A 21,277-nucleotide genomic window follows, 5' to 3' on the forward strand; every position below is an offset into this window, starting at 1 on the left:
CCACGGATGAAGTAAGGGCAATGAACGCGATATTCTCTAAAGAACATTTGGGTCAAGATGGCTGTCTTTACTTTCCCGTTTATGTAGCCAAGAATGAACAGAGAAAAATCTTTACCAAATTTAGCAATTATTATTATTATTATTATTATTATTATTATTATTATTATTATTTTGAGACAGTCTCACTCTGTCGTCCAAGCTGGAGTGCTGTGGCGTGATCTCGGCTCACTGCAAGCTCCGCCTCCCAGATTCACGCCATTCTCCTGCCTCAGCCTCCCGAGTAGCTGGGACTACGGGCACCTGCCACCACGCCCGGCTAATTTTTTTTTGTATTTTTAGTGGAGACTGGGTTTCACCGTGTTAGCCAGGATGGTCTCGAACTCCTGACCTCATGATCCACCCGCCTCGGCCTCCCAAAGTGCTGGGATTACAGGCATGAGCCACCGCGCCTGGCCCAAACTTAGAAGTTATTGAGGGTTGCCATCAATATGGCGGAAATTGTAAGGCACGTTTACAACACGAAGCGAAGAGAAGGGATTCGCTAATGGGCTTCACTGCTTGAAGGAAATGCCTGGCTGAGGCATAAGTTGAAGGTCCTCGGGAAGAACTCCATGTTATCTGGAAACGACTCCTGAGCTTGGACAGATTTGTCCCAGGGAAAGAAGAGCCTTGATCGTACCTTTGGCAAAAGCTCAAAGTGCAAGAGATCATCCCGGGTAGAGAAGCCAGGTGTGGCACTCATTCTTGACCTACACCTGGCAGGGATGGAACCAGTATTGCAGGAGGTGCTGGTCCAGCTGACTTCTCACTCTACAGCAAACCCAGGAGTGTAACCTGCAGCAGAAGGCAGTGCCCCCACTTGCTGTTTTCTACTGCTTACTGAAAAGCAGATCTCAATTTCAGCAAAGCACTACCAGATTTTTCATCCTTCTTTTTCCTGGATCTGAGAGATGTAAAAGTATTATAGTTAGAGTGATTCAGACGGAACCCATTTTAAACACACTCTGTAAGGGTAAGTAAACAGAGAAAAAGATAAACACAGACAAAGAAAAGATTCTGCCGAAGAAGGGAAACGACCCGAGAAACCCAGCAAATAAAGACTGTGAAGTGAAATTCCTAACATGAGATAGAATAAAGTATCAGAAAAACTGTAATTGATATTTTTGACCAAGTCTGAGAGGATGTGGCATCTGTGGAGCTAGAGTCGACAGTTATGAAAAGATACAGATCTGAAGTCAGAATTTTGTTTTATTTTAATCAACTTTTGTTTTAAACTCAGGGGGTACATGTGCAGGCTTTTTACCTAAGGATATTGCATGATGCTGAGGTTTGGGGTACCAATGATACTGCTACCTAAGTACTGAGGATAGTACCCAGTAGTTTTCAACCCTTGCCCCAATACCCAGTATTCCCCAGTGTGTAGGGTTGCCATCTTTTTTTTTTTTTTGAGACAGTGTCTCACTCTGTCGCCAGGCTGGAGTGCAGTGATGCGATCTTGGCTCACTGCAACCTCAGCCTCCCAGATTCAAGTGATTCTTCTGCCTCAGCCTCCCGAGTAGCTGAGACTACAGGTGCACGCCACCACGCTCAGACAATTTTTGTATTTTTAGTAGAAACAGGGTTTCACCATGTTGGCCAGGATGGTCTCGATCTCTTGACCTCGTGATCCACCCACCTTGGCCTCCCAAAGTGCTGGGATTACAGGCGTGAGCCACTGCACCTGGCCATGTTGCCGTCTTTATGTCCAATGTTTAGTTCTCACTTATAAGTAAGAACATGCAGCATTTGGTTTTCTCTTCTTGGGTTAATTTGCTTACAATAAGCCTAAGCCTCCATGGATGGCCTCCAGCCACATCCATGTTGCTGCAGAGGACATGATTTCATTATTTTTGCAGATGCATAGTATTCCATGATGTATATAGCATATTTTCTTTATCCAATTCACTGTTAATGAGCACCTAGGTTGATTCCATGTCTTTGCTATTTTGAATAGTGCTGTGATAAACATGTGAGTGCATGTGTCTCTCTGGTTAGAATGATTTGCTTTCTTTCGGGTATATACCCAGTAATTCTGGGTCAAATTGTAGTTCGGTTTTAAGTTCTTTGAGAAATTGCCAAACTGCTTTCCACAGTGGCTGGACTAATTTACATTCTCACCAACAGTGCATAAGCATTCCCTTTTCTCTACAGCCTTGCTAAGCTGGTTGTATTTTAAAATGTCATGAAAGAAGTGAACTGGACATAGGCTGTGCAGAACATTGAATCAGTCAAGTAGAAGGAAGTTTAAGAAATTCTCCTAGAGCTCAGAGAGAAAGCAAGCTGATATTTAATGAATATTAGGAATTCCAAAAGTAAAAAAGAAAGCCAATTAGGAAGAAGAAATAATCAAAATAATAGTGGAAGATAATGTTGCTAAAATTACTAAGGATTATGATCTTGTTTTAAAAGGCTTAGCAAGTACCAGGAACAACTTATTTTAAAGAGTCACTTGAATGAAAATTATCAAGTACATTTATATTACAGGCACTGAGAAAAGCCAAAAAAATGTATTAGGTGAAATGAACATGGTACCTATTCCAACTGAGTTGAATATACCTTAGAAGACAAGCAAATCACAATCGGTAGCATAGAGTATGGGAAGTGCTATCACAGAAGTGAAAAGCTTAGCAGAGGTGCACTTTAATTGGCTTGGGGGATCAGGAAAATATCACTTTCCAGAAGAAGTGATATTTGGGCAGACCTGAGGAATATGTCAGCATTATCTAGATGAAGAAAAATGTCTTCGGTGAGATGGGAAGTAATCCAGACAGAAGTAAAAGCCTGGGTAAAGTCTCAAACCTGAAAAAGAACATGTCACATTTAAACAACTAAGAACATTTCTGTAAGGTTGAAAAATCAAAGAAAAGCTGAGTTAATGAGGTTGAAGGAAAAACAGAGGCTAACGTATAAAAAATTTCATCCACTATATGAGTCACTTTAATCATAATCCTGAGATGAAGATATGGACAATGCAACACAAGGACAAGGAGTTTTTATAATGATCATATGTATATTTTCAAAAAGGCTCTCTAGTGAGTGTGGACAATGAATAGTAGAAGAGCCAGACAAATGGTGAGAGACTGATTAGAGGTCATCACAGGAATTTGGGGAGGAAAAGGCAATGTAAACTAGGAGATTAGCCATGGGAATGGATAAAAATAGGTAGATATGAGAAATTTTTCAAAATGTAGAATCAACCTTAATTAGATGTGGGCATTAGGGAGAAGTATGACAGCCAGATATCTGGTTTGGAGCAATTAAATGCCATTCTCTGAGATGGGAATCTCAGGAGAAAGACTGGATGATGACTTCTGCTTTGAACATGTTGAATTTAATGTGATGAATAGGCAGTTGGAACTGGGGAAGCAGAAACTAGGGTGAAGACAGGGCCTTGTGAGAGCTTAGTGTATATATGGCAAATGTTTCCATGGGAGAGGAGATCTTTGCCTAAGAAAGTATGGAGAGTGGGAAGAGAATAATACTAAGAACAGAAGAGAAATCCACTAAGAGGATGCCGATGATACCTGCAACTAGAGGCATGGGGAAGGCTTTGCAGTTCTTCTTCAGCAGTAAGGGGGTCATAACCTGGAGATGAGGCATTCGGAGGCTACCAGGATGTAATTGAAAGGCTGAGCCTATGAATAGCATGTGGAAAATCTTGGCCCTTTGAGTATCTGGAAAAGCTGCAGGGAAGGGTTTTCTAACGGAGGAATGAGGTTTCAAACATGGCATGAATATGAAGTGATTAGAGGAAGTAGAAGAGTTTTTCATTGAAGGGGAGTTCAATGGTTAGAGTAGATATGCCTTGGAAGAAGGGAAGAGATTTGAGAAAATGTACAAGAACTATATGGAGGAGAGAAGATAAATGAATGGCAGAGGGTTGTGTCCTGTGCATTGGAAATGGACAACAGAGGTATGAGGCATGATGAAGTATGACAAGAACCACACTGAGTTATATTCTAAATATGGTTTTAAAATTTCATGTTTAGTGGAAAAAATACATTAAGCATCTGAGAGGAAGGAAAACAACTACCTAAATGATAACTGAAAGCAGATTGTCACCAGAATGTGTCTCCTAATATCAGATAACCATGGAGCAACACCCAAGGAATTTTGAGAAGAAAGGATTGTGCGACGTAATTTTATACCCAGCTGTTGTTTATGTGAGAGGGTGCTAAAATTCTTGGATATGCAAGGATGCATACACAGCTAGCATGTGTATGGATACAATACAGTAACCAACATATACATCATGGAAATTTACTCAAGAAACTCTAGTAAATTAAGAAATTAATCAGTTTAGGAACCTTATCTCCATATCATGAGGGTGGACAAAGCACACATATACCTCTCCATTTTCTCTCCAGATCCCAGGAAAATGACTAATCAAGTATAAGAATGAGATTAAATCCTTAGCAGTCCTGAAAAACAAAAACAGAGGAGGTTTTATCAGCAGATCAAACATTTTAAGGAATTTTGGAAAACTATAAAGTACATTGGTTTGACAGGGAAAATAGCGCCAAGGAAATCACAAACAAATAAGGACATCTGGAATGGGTCACTGAAGAAGCAAGTACCAGCCTTCCCCACAGAGCCCTGGAAAAACTCCAAGATCATCATCAGCAAGGGCTGGAAATATTTGTTGAATGATGTTGAATGAATGAGCAGCCTGTGTGGCAATTAGCAACATAATTAATTGAAGGAATGCCAGCCCAGCTGGGCTGGTCCTCAGCTCTGGTACACAGAGAGCTGGCTATGGTATTTTCTCTTAAGATATAATAGATAAGATGAACTCTATATAAAGTGGTGGCTCTTCCTTTAGGAAAAAGAAAAATAATAGAAAAGCAGCTTTGTAGAGGAATGAAATGTCCTGAAACTCCCTACTCCCAGAGAAATGTCTTCCCTGGCTTACTTGGATTTATTGAGGCAAATCCTTAACCTACTTACATGCTGTTTGTTTGTTCAACCTGGAAAGAAATCCATTTGCATCGCACCCACCCACCCAAAGAGGACTGGAGTATGCTCCCATTCAGGAGAGAGCTCTGCTGTAGGGATGGTACACTCTACAATTGCTGAAGAAAGCCAGTTGAATGATCAACAGGGACCACTGTAATCCTTGAATCATAATTACAAATACACAGACTTTGAGGAAAAGTAAACCATTAATTAGAAACATCTATAGGAACAGGTGGAACAGATGGTCCTTGAGAGATTAATAATGGCAATAGAAGTTAATTTAACATTTCCATTAAAATTATTAAAAACATTTGACAGAATATTGAATATGTGAAAAAGGACATACTTCTTTGAAAATGAATCAAATGAATAAGAAATTTTGAGAAATTAAAATCGTGCATAATGGGGGAGAAAAAAACTAAGAAGGGCTGATTACTGCAATAGACAAAGCTAAAATTAGTGACTAAATCTCCTAGAATATGGAATAGTAACAAAGATTAAGAATATTACTGTTGTTTGTTATTAACATCTTCCTCTCAAAACATATTAGATTTTCTATTTTGGGGATTCAGCAGTTTATCTATGAGTATAAATTGTATCATGTTACATAACCATAGTTTATCATTTGTTGAACATACGCAATTTCTTTTAGAATACTGTGATCTTCTTTTCCTCTTCTAACAACTCCCTTTTCTCCTTGTGAAACTTCTAATTCATGTTTCTTGAACTACTGAATACATTTGTCATGTGTCTTAAATTTTCTATGAAAATAGCACTGTCCCACTTTTATTTTAAAATATTTAAGGATGTTCATGTGTTTCGAAGACAAAATTAAAGATTTTAATTAATTGTATTTTCTGTTGGTTTATCTGAATTTTTGAAAACATCAATATTACAACATTTTAAGTAAAAATGAACATATTATTTATAAAAGTGCATGTTTGAGTTTAATTCTCTACCGTTTTTACTGTTCTTTACTCTTTTCCTTTTGCAGGGAGAGCGTTGGCTATTTTATTGTAGATACATAGGCACACACTCCAGAGAGCCAGATGTAGATACAAGATTTGTTATGTAAATTATCTGTCCCCTTCAAGTCCATTTATCCCTTTTCCCCAAAACCACTGTCAACTCTTTCAGTTGATCCCTGTGGTATTTCCCTGCTTGTGGCTAAATAATGCATTAGTCTTGCTGCTTCCTGATTTTTCAGCTTTACATATTATTTATTGACTTCCCACTATGTCAGATGAGGATTTAATTTTGTTTTTTGCATCCCTTTGCATCTCCAAAGAAACTCTCCATTATCTCCCCTTCAGTCTTTCAATGTAATTATACTGTAATTTTAGTTTCCCCAAATATTCATTGCTTAAACTATTATAATCATGTAAATGCTATTGAGTCCTGAGCCTAGTAAACTCTGATAACTTTTCCTTTCCTGCACAACTTTTTACATCTCCTGGAATCAATCCTTATCTTTTTGTTCATTTGTTTATGTGGTTTTCTGTATACTTATCAGAAATTTAACCTACACTCTCCAGCAATTACCTGAATCTCTTTTCAATAAGTTCATTCACATTAGGTATTTTAATGCTTTCATCTTCTTGAAAAAATTTCTCTGTGACCCTTCTGACCTGTCAATATTGAGAATGGTTGTCCTCTGCAAGGGTTATGCTAGCTTCTCTGACTTTCATCACCAATCTGGGATTTTTCTTTATTTCTCTCTCGTATTGGGTGCCTTTTTTCTTGGATCTCATGTCTTCTTCTTTTAGGGTTCCTTCGGAGGAATACAAAAGAAGTAACATTTTAAAAACCTTGAGTTTCTGAAACTTCTTTTTACCTGACACCAGATAGTTTAGCTGGGCACATAGTTTTAAGAATAGGAATAGGAAAATATTGCTTATTTCTCTTCTAGTTTGCAATATTTGCTATTGAGCAATCTGAAGTCACTGAGATTCCTAATCTGTTGTATAAAACTTGTTTTCATTTTTTTTTCTTCTCTGAGAACCTGTAGAATTTCCTTTTTATCTTCAGTCTTCTGAAACTGCAAAAGCAAGAGCTCTTCAAGTAAAGAGCCTTAACATTTGCCTCTTTTCATTCACTCTCTTGGACACCCAGATGATGGGTCCTTTGAATCTGGAAACTCATGTCCTCAGTTCTGTCAAATATTCTTGAATTATTTTGTTGATAATTACTTCCACTTTATTTCATCTGTTTGTTCTTTCTTGAATTGCCATTAGATAATTATTGGAGCTCTTAAACTGATTTCCCCAATTCCTTACTATTTTTCAATTTCCAATCACTTTGTCCCTTTAGACTGTTTTCTGGAAGATTATCTCAACTTTTTCTTCCTATTTTTCTGTTTACTTTTCAATTTTACTTTCAATTTCCCAGAACTCTTACTTCTGAATATTTATTTGTATGGCATTTTTAATGATTGTAACTTACTATCTTACCTATCTGAGAACGTAATGATAGTTTTTTATTTATTTTTTCCCACATAGTCTCTGTTTTCTCCAAGTTGCTTTTGTCCAAGTTGCTTTTTGGTTTGGTCTCTATATTTCATCCCAGGCTTTCTTTACATGTTTGATATTCTTTTTTTGTCTGCTCAGATTTAGTGGGCAAACTAGAAGCTGATTGGAAGCACTGACGTCCCAGCGTGTCTTATTAAAAAACTCCAATGTCTGTCGGCCAGGCACGGTGGCTCACCCTGTAATCCAGCACTTTGGGAGGCCGAGGTGGGTGGATTACAAGGTCAGGAGATTGAGACCAGCCTGGCCAATGTGGTGAAACCCTGTCTCTACTAAAAATACAAAAATTAGCTGGGTGTGGTGGTGCGCACCTGTAGTCCCAGCTACTCAGGAAACTGAGGCAGGAAAATCGCTTGAACCTGGGAGGCGAATTGCAGTGAGCCGAGATTGCACCACTGTACTCCAGCCTGATGACAGAGTGAGACTCCATCTCAAAAAATACCAAAAAACTCCAATGTCTTTCCTCTTGTACTGGGCAGGCCCTTTAGCTTGAACTCTTCCAAGGAAGATGAGTGAGGAAAAAGGTTGGGGGCTCTATTTGTCCATTTTCACGCTGCTATGAAGACATACACGAGACTGGGATATTTATAAAGAAAAGAGGTTTAATTGACTCACAGTTCCACATGGCTGGGGAGGCCTCAGGAAACTTAGAATCATGGCAGAAGTGGAAGAGGCTCATCTTATATGGTGGCAGGCAGGCAAGAGAGAGCGAGCAAAAACAGGGAAAACTGCCTTATAAAACTATCAGATCCTGTGAGAACTCACTCACTATCACGAGAACAGCATGGAGGAAAACACTTTCATGATCAAGTCACCTTACACCTGGTCCCTCCCTCGACATGTGGGGATTATGGGGATTACAATTTGAGATGAGATTTCGGTGGCGACCCAGAGCCAAACCATATCAGGGGCATCTCAGAATTTTTTGTAGAGATGCTCATTTAACCCATCTCCCTAAAGTTCAAAAGTTTTACTCATAATCCATTCCCTAGAGACGCTCTGGTTTACTGTCTTCAGAACATAACCCTCCAATCTTTTGCCGGGGAAGGGAATTGGCCCAGACATTAATAGAAACTAATTTCTAAAATGCGCTTTCTTTTTAAGACAGGGTCTCACGCTGTTGCCCAGGCTGGAGTGAAGTGGCACGATCACAACTTACTACAGCCTCCACCTCCCAGGCTCAAGTGGTCCTCCTACCTCAGCCTCTCAAGTAGTTGAGACCACAGGTGTGTGCCACCATGCCTGGCTAATTTTTATGTAGAGACAGGGTTTCACCAGGTTGCTCAGGCTGGTCTGAACCCCTGGGCTTTAGTGATCTGCCTGCCTCAGCCTCCCAAAGTGCTGGGATTGCAGGCGTGAGCCATCACACTGGGCCTCTAAATGCTTTTAACCAAGTCTTGTTATTTTAGCCTCCTACTCTCTCTTTTTCTCCACTTCTGGGGGTAGCTGGTTTGCACACTTGCTGAGACTTTTGAGGGTTCTGTGGCATAATCTCAGCTTCTACTTCTGGCTTAGATTCAGCCTTCTTAAATAACAAGCCCTCTGTTATTTATTTATTTGTTATTGAGATTCCAAAATTCTGTTGCTGTTGTCCCCTCTGCTGTATCCTTGTGGGTATATGTCTTACAAAATCTCCCTTATTTGCCTTTTAATGGAGTTTTAGGAGGGATGGGAAGTACATACATATGTTTAATCTGTTATCTTTACCTGGAAATTGATTTTCAAGTATATTTGCTAATTGAAATAGTTATGCAATGTTACACTTGATAATATCTGACCTTCTAAATAAAGTTTTAAACATCTGTATTAATTGATGTAGGCTAATAAGAGTGCTACAGCAAGAGCAACCCTCGAACTTCAGAGTTTAACACGACAATAGTTTAATTCTCATTATTGCTAGATGTTCATTATGGGTAGAGGGTGGCTCTGTTTCACTATGCCTGGAGATTGATAGAGGTGGACAAAGACTCAATTATTTTGCAGTTGTACAATCTGAAGTGTATAACGTTCTTGGTTCACATAGTAAGGACAGAGAGCTTGAGGGTCTTACATTAGCCAATAAATATTTTAGCCTGAAAGTGATATGCTCACATTTCATTGGCCAGAATGTTTCATGGGCCTGATTTACTGAAAGAAACAGGAAAGTATAATCCCCACTGGTGTTTGAAAGAAAGATATGTTAAGTGGGCACTAGAAGTCTCCAGCCTGTCACTTTCAGATACACAGCCATGCACCGCATAATGACCTTTTAGTTAACAACAGACCAAATGTATGATGGCGGTCCCATAAGATTACAATATTGTATTTTCACTGTGCCTTTTCTATGTTTAGACACACAAATACTTACCATTGTGCTACAAGTGCCTCTACTATTCAGTACAGTAACACACTGTCCAGGTTTCTAGCTTATGACAATAGGTTAGACCATTGTGCACAGCCTAGTACCAGTAGGCTATGCACAATGAAGAAATTGCCTCAGGATACATTTCTCAGAACATATCCTTGTTGTTAAGCAACACATGAATATACATTGAGCTGAGAGAATGTATTTGCTAGGGTAAGACTAGACTGCTATAAAAAGTAGACCCAACTCAATGCAGTGGCTTAAAAGGAAATGCGGTTTATTCATTTTCACTGAAACACACCAAAGGGAGCATCCAATGCTGACAGGTGGCCATGGTCCCAACCAGATGCTTCGACTGTGTTCATGCATTTTACTCTTACAGCTCTGTTCTAAGCAAATAACTTGTATGCTGATGTTCACTTGAAAAGCCTAGGACACACGCATAATGAAAGGGTAAAGACAGAATCTTTTTTTCTTTTTTTTTTTTTTTTTTTTGAGACGGAGTCTCGCTCTGTCGCCCAGGCTGGAGTGCAGTGGCGCGATCTCGGCTCACTGCAAGCTCCGCCTCCCGGGTTCACGCCATTCTCCTGCCTCAGCCTCCCAAGTAGCTGGGACTACAGGCGCCCGCCACTACGCCCGGCTAATTTTTTGTATTTTTAGTAGAGACGGGGTTTCACCGTTTTAGCCGGGATGGTCTCGATCTCCTGACCTCGTGATCCGCCCGCCTCGGCCTCCCAAAGTGCTGGGATTACAGGCGTGAGCCACCGCGCCCGGCCAAGGGTAAAGACAGAATCTTTACATGAACAACTTAGTGTTGAAAATCCTAACACTAAGTGCCAAGCATTTCTTCTTACATATCCCTATTTGTCTTTCAGTTTTTCGTGGGAGATGCGCCATTATGTTTGAAAATACAAGAGGTGTTTATGGAGAAAGATGGAAGCTGCTTATGAGACACAAGACAGGCCCTGTGGAAGTTTAGTCATGAAGAAGATAAAGAAGATTTTCTGGAGGGATCCTCTAGAAACAAACAACAAAACCCACAAATTATAATGCATCTGCACTTAGACTGCTAGGAACTTTGACTCGATGGAGTGAAAGCTTAAGGCTTTGTTCTTTACCTGTGCTGCTTTCAAAAAATGTGGACAGTGGGTCCATTTTTGCAAGCAGAAGTTGTTTAACCATGAGATGAATGTCCCATGATTTCAAATGATATATAATAAACACTTTTCTTTTGTGTTTCCAATCTATTTTCTTTCAACACTTATTACCTTAGTGGATTAGTCTATTTTCACACTGCTATAAAGAATACCTGAGACTGGGTAATTTATAAGGAAGAGAGGTTTAATTGACTTACAGTTCTGCATGGCTGGGGAGGCCTCAGGAAACTTATAATCATGGTAGAAGGAAAAACAAGCACATTTTACGCGGCAGCAGGTGAGAGGGAGAGTGAATGAGTATGAAGGAGGAACGGTCAAACACTTATAAAACCATCAGATCTCATGAGAACTCACTATCATGAGAACAGCATGGAGGGAACCGCCCACCCCCATGATCCAATCACCTCCCTCCCTCGACATGTGGGAATTACAGGTCCCTCCCTTGACATATGGGGATTGCAATTTGAGATGAGATTTGGGTGGAGACACAGAGCCAAATCACATCCTTTGGATGAAAGTGATAATCAAACTTTTAAATGTATACAGTTGAAAGATAAAGTCTTAAAATACTTGAATTCAGAATAATTCTGAAATTCTGAAATACTTGAATTCAGAATAATTCTGAAATTCTGAAATTCTGGAAAGGAAAATAATGGAGAATTGAAGTATTTCTACGCTGTCAAGCAGATTCCCCTGTTCCCACTTGCTCCTTAGTGTCCCCTGGGAATCTCCAAATCTCCAGCTTTGACCTGATTCTAATCCCTGATTAATTATAAAAGGCACCAGGAAGTGGGGAAACACACACTTTTAAATATAATCTTAGATAATAAGATTATAAATAAGTTCAGAAATGTTATAATAGGAGAAAGTGTGAGTTTCAGAATAGAAAGCACTATATTAAGTGGATGATTATGGCCACTATTGGGAGGTAATTATCAATTGATTAAAGGCAGGTCAGCTAGAGACAGTTTGGCGTAATGTATACAGAAGTGCTTCTGGATCAGCTAGAGCTAAAGATCCAAGGAGATCCTTTCCCTGGGAAGGCAGAGAATGGCTGTGGGAGTGAAAGAAGAATCGTTTCTGCAGAATCTGAAGGTGAACTCGGAGCCTTAGAAAATGGATCTTCAAGTGTAGCCCAGACTGAGAGAAGAAAATAGCAACTGGATGAACTAGATAGATGGTCTCCTCAGCCACAGAAGCTTAATTTTGATCAGAAGTTAAAACATCATGGTATGAAAAAGAAATCCCACATTTTTCTAGGAGCTAAAGCCTGGGGTCTTTTTTTTTTTTTTGAGATGGAGTTTTGCTCTTGTCACCCAGGCTGGAGTACAATGGCATGATCTCAGCTCACTGCAACCTCTGCCTTCCAGATTTAAGTGATTCTCCTGCCTCAGCCTCCCTAGTAGTTGGGACTACAGGCAAGCGCCACCATGCCGGGCTAATTTTTGTATTTTTAGTAGAGACGGGGTTTCACCATGTTGGCCAGGCTGGTCTCGAACCACCCACTCAAGTGGAGACCCACTTTGGCCTCCCAAAGTGTGGGGATTACAGGCATGAGCCACTGTCTTACAGGCATGAGCCACTGTCCCTGGCCTAAGACTGGGCTCTTTAGAGAGTTCACAATTGCTCATAATTCTCAATTTTTGATCTTTATAACAGACTGTATGATAAACATGGTTACTTTCACTGTTGAAAACAAAAATAACTTCAGAAATAAAGACAGGACAGCAAGTCACCTGTCCAGAGTGATTATTGGGCTTAGATGTCTGTGTCTACCCAGGTCAAAATGGAAAAGTTGACACAAATGGCACTTTTACTTACCCTACATGGTGTCTTCCCTGTCTTCTGGCAGTGTCCCCTCCCACCCAGGCACTCAGTCTACCTCAGCGATTATCACACCTCCCAAAGTGAATCTTATGCAAGGCATGAACTCATGTGCTTATTGATAGAACATTTCCCAGAGTATAAGGGAGTTTCAAAAGAAAATAGTCTTCAGAAAAAGAAATGGAGGCTTTCACATAGCAAGATGGATTTTTGGCCTAGGTTGAATGGTGTGTTCACCAAAAGTGTGGAATAAAGAAGGAATCAGATACTGAGGGACTCACAGGCAGATACCAAGAGTGACCTACATCAAACATTTGATGACCAATCCTGAACTATACATCATTTCATTTAACCCTTCCCAAAAAAAGCCCACTAAGGTAGGTGTGTTGCTGTCTCTATTTCATAGATGAGGGGAAATCTATGGTGTAGGGACCTTAATGTCATTTTCAATGTCTTCCAGAGGTTAAGTGGCTCAGATCTGCTTTGAACAAAATATCACCTGTCAACAGAGCCCATGTTCTTCTTTCTCCACAAGAAACCTGGGGTCAGAACAATGGACAGAGGCCAGCCCAGCCTCCTTGTGACAAGCACCATTCCCCAGTATCAAAGGATTGCCTGGGGAGGCTGAGGGATTCCTCGATATTCTGAAGCCTTACATGTCAACCGAATCCAACAATTACTGATGATTTTTATTAATTACATTTATTTCTAAAAATATTAAAGACAAGTGGGTTTTCCTGCTGACAAGAGTTGATATTTTGCAGGCAGGAAATTTTGCATTATCCAAATATTGGCTATTTTGCATGGCCTCATTCTACATATCCTCTCCACCCTGCTTCCTGTCCCCACCCAACACTTCCCAAATCAACGGCCAAACTTTGGCAGAGGCATGCAGAGCTGGAGCAGTCAGTGTAAACTGTTCTGGGAAGCCAGACTCTGCAACTGTTCTCGGCATAGGCACTTGTCTGTGTAATGGAAGCTCCCCCGAGAAGGACCCTTGTTCTTTGGAAAATAGTGTCTGCTCTTAGCAATAGCAGTGAATCTAGAGTGGATTGCTGGTCACTTGATGTGACAGGGGTAGGAACTGTAGGGAAATGAATAAGCTTCTTGAAGATGTAACCCTACAAAAAAGCCCAATTTTCTTAGGAGAAACCGTTGTCTTGCCAGCTTCCTTCCTCTGCTTGAGCTAAATATATAGGTAGGGAGGTCAGCCTTTGTTCCTCTAGCATGTTGCTAAGTCCTATACAAGACACATCCAAAGACTTACTGAAAAAAACATATGTGAAATATTTGTGTTTGTTTTACCATAAAGCCAATTAATATCTCATCTATGACAGCATTTTGGACTCTGTAAGGCACTGCTCAACAGTGAGGTACAATATTTTTTCTTTCAAAGTACCTGAACCCATGATTGTGTTCAATCATCTGTCCATCCTAAATTGAGATCCTTCCTTTCTTATTCTAGTTGGGTAAAGTATTGACAAAGCTAACATTAGAATTTTAACAAACCAAGCTAATTGCCTATGTATCAGCCCCTGCTCTGAAGAGTGATGATCACAGAAGTGACTTTTTTTTTTTTTTAGATGAAGTCTCACTCTTGTTCCCCAGGCTGGAGTGCAATGCATGATCTCGGGTCACTGGAACCTCCCCCTCCCGGGTTCAAGCAATTCTCCTTCCTCAGCTTCTGGATTAGCTGGAATTACAGGCGCCTGCTACCACGCCCAGCTAATTTTTGTATTTTTAGTAGAGATGGGGTTTCACCATGTTGGCCAGGCTGGTCTTGAACTCCTGACCTCAGGTAATCTGCCTGCCTTGGCCTCCCAAAGTGCTGGAATTACAGGCGTGAGCCAGAAAGTGACCCTTCAGTTAGGGCTGAGGAATCTTTTGGATTCTTGAAACTGAGGGATGAGGTGGGAAAGCATCCCCTGATGTCTGGGACTAACCTGATGTTGACAGATAGACCTTGATATGATTGCAAGCCAGTCTGATGCTCATAGCTAGGTCATTTTGTTCTCCTGTCTCCTATAATCATGAAATACCAACTTCAGACAAGGTTACTGTGAAATCATAATAACATAAAACAAAACAAGTCCACTTTATAATTTTGTCTTGGCATAGATGAACAAGGTCACTGTGACATTAGCAAAACACACAAATCATACGATTTCCCTCCTTTCTGACAGCATCCAAGCTAGAAACAATACCCAGTTCTTTAGATCCTTCTCCAAATAACTTGACCAAAGCTCAAATCCTATAATAGGTTCTTTCTAATATTCTCTTGCTGAGATAACCCACAGTTTTCTCTTGCGTATGTTTTCTGTCTCATGCAATGAGAACTCAGCTTTTTAAAAAAAACTCAGCTTTTTAAAGCCTAGATGTATTCTTGTAGGACTTTGGCTGTAGGGCATTGATAATCTCATAGTAAACACTCAGCTTCACCACTGCTAAACCAGAGTGATTCAGAGTTTCCCTCTTATTATCCTCCCTCACCCCATGCAATGCCTATGATGTTCATGTGTATAAAGGCTGTAAGGGTGGAGCATACAATTTTCCTTGCACTCTTAAGGACAACAGTGTTTCTGCATCTCTGAGGTCAATTTAAAGCCTCTTATATCTAGGCAGGTGGTCAAGGCCCCTGCTTAACACTATGGAGCCCAGAGTCTTTTCCGTCTCCTTTAGGGGATCTCCTGTGGTGGGCCTTGAGAATGGCCTTCATTCTAGAAGGCATATATATACTTCCCTCTTATCTCCACAATGAGAGACAGTAGCCTTGTGTAGGGATTCTCACAGAGATGGTGAGTGGAATAATGGCAAGTACACACTATGCGGCCTCTTCATACACACAGAAATGTTTGCAGTTGGGCTTAGGGTCAGGAAGTCAAATGACTGCAGGGGCAAGTCTTGTTTGTGAGTGAATGAGGTGGGCCAGGTCTGATACAAAACAAGGTCATGGGGTCTTTGGTAAACTGGCAAAAGCATGTCCTCTCTAAAAAGGCACAACTTAATTTCTTAATTTAACTACTGCTGGTGGCTGCTATGAGGCAAGGAGATTCCAGCGTGGCCAGATCGTTTGATTCCTTCTTTCTTTCATTCCTTCCTTCCGTCCTTCCTTCCTTCCTTCTGTCCTTCCTTCCGTCCGTCCGTCCTTCCTTCCTTCTTCCCTCCGTCCCTCTTTCTCTCTCTTTCTGTCTTCTCTCTCTCTCCCCTTTCTTTTTTCTTTCTTTCTTTCTTTTTTTTTTTTTGTGAGACAAAGTCTCACTCTGTCACCCAGGCTGGAGTGCAATGGCATGATCTTGGCTCACTGTAACCTCTGCCTCCCAGGTTCAAGCGATTCTCCTGTCTCAGCCTCCTGAGTAGCTGGGTTTACAGGTGTGCACCACCACACCCGGCTCATTTTTGTATTTTTAGTAGAGACAGGGTTTCAATGTGTTAACCAGGATGGTTTCAATCTCCTGACCTTGTGATCCACCCGCCTTGACCTCCCAAAGTGCTGGGATTACAGGCATGAGCCACTGCAACCGGCCTCTCTCTCCCCTTTTTTCTTTTTCTTTTTGGGGTGAATAGAGTTTCACTTTGTTTCCCAGGCTTCATAATTACATGAGCCCATTCTTATAACAAATCTCAGCTTATATATTTATATACATCCCATTGGTTCTGTTTTTCTGGAGAACTTCTACTAATACACTTTGCAAATCCTTTCCCTAGGGCTTGTTATTGTGACTATTGTTATTGCTTGCTTGTTTAATAAATTTTCTGGAGTAATTCTGTATAATCTATATGCTTTATCATGCATCACCACTGAGGTATTGCTTGGTTAGCTCAGTGGTCAGCTAATGATTGAACAGAGATTTACTGAAACACCTGTAACCAATAAATCTCCCTGTGTTTGTTGTTGGGTCTTCTGTGCGTATTGGGGTGTGGTTTACAACTCTGTCTTAGCTTTCACTTCCCACTTGTGCAGAGCCTCAAGGTCAGCCAGAGATGAAACTTTAAGGCCTTCTCAGTTCTTTCCTGAGCATGTTCACAGTCCTAGGTATGTATATAATCCTATGTACGCATGCAGCCTTCCCAACTCCTAGCAACATGACGGAGTTTTTCGAAGTCCCCTCTAGACATTTTATTCCCTGGATTTTTCTTTTAAGCTTTTCTGTGCCCCAAGTGGTACTGCTGCCTCTGGCAGTCATGACGTTAAAAAATTATCTCTGATTATTTTCAACAAATGTCTCCAGGCAAAAGGCTGTTCACACTGGGATAGCTCTAAGTCAAGTCAAATAAAGACAGTCCTTTTCAAACGGGGTCTTCTGGAAAACCAGCAGGCTGGAGATGGTTCTTTTAAGGAGTTTCTACCCTGATTTGCACTTTCTAGTGGCTGCCAGGCTGTTGGTTTTCATTGTGACTGGAGACTAGTGGCTACTGCAAACATGGGGAGAAGGTATGGAAATAGGAATAGCTACAACTCCACAAAGCTTGCTGTTCTTATCAAGATTCAGCCATTTTTTTTTTCTTGAATAAATACTCCCTGGATTACTGGAAGTCTTTGGTTAATTTCCAATGTTGTGAAACAGTTGATTCTGACAGCTTTGCAAGTGTTCTTCTGGCTTTCATGGAAAAGAGAATTTTTGGAAGTCCTTAGTCTACCATTTTTACTGATATTTTAAATTAAGGTTTGAAAATTTTAAAATCATTAATTGCAGTCCTAAAACTACCTAATGTGAAAATTAATCATAGTTCCAAAAGGTATTAGATAAACAACACAGTCATAAAATCTTTCTAAGCAACTTAACAAGATTTGCTTTCAAAGTAATAAATGTAGACACTGCCCGGTTAAGACGAGCAACCCTGTCTTCTACCCTCTGATTTGAGTTTTCAGTGATACCTAAGCATCGTTAAGTGCTTCTGATTTGTTGATTATTATCTATGCCTAGGAAGTCTACATGCTGTTATTTATCCCAGAGAAATACTTACATTTACCTTAAAGGGCTGAGCCCGGCCGAGGTGGGCAGAACATGAGGTCAGCAGTTCGAGACCAGCCTGGCCAATATGTTGAAAGCCCATCTCTACTAAAAATACAAAAATTAGCCAGGCATGGTGGCAGGTGCCTGCAGTCTCAGCTACTTGGGAGGCTGAGGCAGGAGAATCACTTGAACCCAGAAGGCGTAAGTTGCAATGAGCCGAGATCGTGCCACTGCACTCCAACTTGGGCAGCAGAGCAAGACTCCGTCTCAAAAAAAAAAGAAAAAAAAGAGATGAGCCCAAGGATTTACAGAGTAGAAACCACTGGTAACAAGTTGAATTTCTATTTATATGAGGATAGTTAAATAATTTATGAATTTATGCAACAGAATATTATGTGGCTAATGAACGACTTAATGGAGCTTTGGGGCTTGACATGCAAAAATATTTATGACATAACTTTAGGTTAAAAAGGTAAAGAATTGTACATATAGTCTTTTGATGCTAACTGTGTTTAAAAACCAATAAGATAAAACATTATTTCTACATGTACATTTGAGTTTGTAACTATCTGTAAAAACATCTTGAAATGTGTGCATAAAGTTAATATTAGTGGTTATTTCTAGGGACAATTGTGGAACTGAGGCCAGGTCTGGGTTGAAGTAGGGGAGGAAAAATGCAGGAAAAGGAATAGCAACTTTGTCTGAGATTTTAAACATCAAATATAGGTGTAATTAACATGAGTTAAATCTAATATGGGTATAACAAAAATAAAAATATTACATGTAAACATATTTTAAATATACAGTAAAAGTCAAATAGTAATTACCCCTATGGCTTTCAGAGATCAAAGGTAAACTTAATTTTCTTCTATGTACTTTTCTATTTTTCCATAGTTTTCTATAATAAACATATAATAAACATTGGAATAAGAAACATGTAAAAATTGATACAAGTGGGTATAAATAACAGTAAACAAGAAATTTCCAGAAATTGTTGTAAAATATTGCTTAATAGGACAAACATTATAATGTTCATTCAGAATTAAACACTAGTTCCTCTTCTATCTTGCAGAACATGTATAATACTTTGAGAAACCTATTTGTATAAAACTAACCCCTCCCCCCATAAAACTATTTGATTAGTAAAATAATGTCAAAAATTTTTTTGCTGGTCTTTGTTTTTGAATGGGACTTCTACATATTATGACTGAGAGTTACTTAGAAATTCACAGAAGGTTCTCCTTGAAAATTAATTATACCTCTATCCCTAGGACATATTAAAATCCAACCATGGGACTGGTATAAAATAATATATACTTTAACTGAATATATGTGGTTAAATCCCATAAGATGAACAGAGGTTTACTCAACTTTTCCATCAGAAGTTAAGTCCTTTGAAGTTATAGATTGAAATACATTTTATATACACGTGAGAGATGTGACTCAAGAAAGTTCACTAATTTTTTATAAATTTCTGAAACCATTGCCCAACCCCCAAAAGCAATCTCTTATAGGTTTGTATTTTGTTCTTTCTTTCAAGAAGCTGATATTCTTTTTACAAAAATCACTGTAATCACAGGACTGGCATCAAAGAGTTTCTAAAGATATCTTGAAATACAGCAATCTAATTACAGAGTCTATTCTCTAATCCCTACTGATGTGCCCTGGTTATTATATCCTCCACAACTTTGCTGAAAGATGACAGCACCATCTCTCCTTACCCTAGAAGAACATCGAGTTGATTTAAATGTTTTGGGTACCCTAATGCTGCTCATCTCCTCCTCTCCTCCAAACAAATGGGTGTGAACTAATGTCAATTCCCTTCCTGGGGTGGTAGGAAAGAAAATGTGACCCCAGTGAAAAATGTATTGCAAATGTCAAAATAAATTTCAGCTAAAAATGACATTTTTTTCAAGGAGATGTAATGAGAAAACTGTTCAAAAGGTAGAGTTAAAGTTTCCTGGTTCCGTATTTAATTAACTCAATCTGACTTTTATTATGCTTTGTATTATGTGTTTCCTTGTTCAGTAAACAAACAGCAGAAAATTAAACTCGGGCAACTGCCAACTAGCAGTAAATTTCATTGAAAAATAATGAATTGCCATGGGATGCCATAGGGTCTTGGGCAGATAAACTTATTTTTCCTGGAAAGTTTCCACTTGCATTTGTCACAATTTGATATATAAAAGGAACAAAAGAAATGAAATATAGTAGTTGGTGGTAGGTGTATAAAAGTGTAATGGCCTTGGAGAATAATTCAGCGGCTGGTTTCTGGGATTTTCAACAGATTAGTCCTGTTTCCTCTTGAGGAACATGGTTGGATGCCAGGGAAATTCTCACCCTGCTTTTATGGATCTGCAGAAGCTGCAGAAACTGCGCTCTATTAACTTTCAGCCAAAGGGGAGCTCACTGCACAAGGATGACCCTGAAGATAAGGAGTGTACATAATTTAGGGAAAAGAGAGACTTCAAATGAAAAAAGGCTACTCCTAAATAACTCTATGCTATGTGACTAATAACTGCTTAAGTCCTTCAAACTTAATAGGAATCAAAGATATTTCCAAACATTCAACTATTTGGTTTTCCTACTTGATATCTTTTCCTGATGTATAGGTACTCTTCTAATGATCCCCTGCTTGAGTTTATGTCCAGGCAAGAAAGGGTTTGGATTAAATCAGGAAAATATAAGGTCTTTTTGAGTGATATGAAAATGATTACATCAGATTTTCTATCTCATGGTGTAAAGGCCAGGTGTCTGTTTATCTGATTGTAGAGCGTATCTCCCAGGTTCAAGTACTCATGGTGGAAGACAATTCTGGTTTTATCCCCACCAACTTCCCCTGGCAGGAGTAGAACCACTGGGTTCCACAGAAGCGTAATCATTCCAGCTGCTGAGTAGGATGTTAGTTAGTTATTCTCCCAGATTTCAAGCAATAATTCCCATGAATGGACCATGATTCTTTTCAGCGTCTCTTGGAAGGCTGTTTGGCAGGAAAGCACCCACTATTTGGTGTTAGATATTAGTTGAGTCTATACTTATTCCTTAATGGTTAAATAGACTTTGAAGAGTCATTCAATAAATAGTTTTAGCCGGGCTCGGTGGCTCACACCTGTAATCCCAGCACTTTGGGAGGCCGAGGCGGCTGGATCATGAGGTCAGGAGTTTGAGATCAGCCTAGCCAACGTGGTAAAACCCCATCTCTACTAAAAATACAAAAATTAGCTGGGTGTCGTGGCGTGCACCTGTAATCCCAGCTACTCCAGAGGCTGAGGCAGGAGAATTGCTTAAACCGGGGAAGTTTTAATGAGGCTGCAGTGAGCCGAGATCGCGCCACTGCACTCCAGCTTGGGTGACAGAACAAGACTCTGCCTCGGAAAAAAAAAAAAGTTTCTAAGCACCAATTATGTACCCAACCCTATTGTACGTACTGGGGCCACATCAGGGAGCTAAAATTGGAAAAAAAAAAAAAAAAAATCC

General features: G+C 39.8%; 1 long non-coding RNA gene across 1 annotated transcript; it reads left to right on the forward strand.

Annotated features, from left to right (window-relative positions):
• Positions 1-399: 399 nt before the first annotated feature.
• Positions 400-11,111, forward strand: LOC124904097 (uncharacterized). Its single transcript, XR_007065972.1, has 2 exons — positions 400-1,012; positions 10,740-11,111. It is a non-coding gene; the product is annotated as an uncharacterized LOC124904097 (long non-coding RNA).
• Positions 11,112-21,277: the final 10,166 nt, after the last annotated feature.

The sequence above is a fragment of the Homo sapiens genome, chromosome 17 (assembly GCF_000001405.40).
Source record: "Homo sapiens chromosome 17, GRCh38.p14 Primary Assembly".
Lineage (NCBI taxonomy): Eukaryota > Metazoa > Chordata > Mammalia > Primates > Hominidae > Homo > Homo sapiens.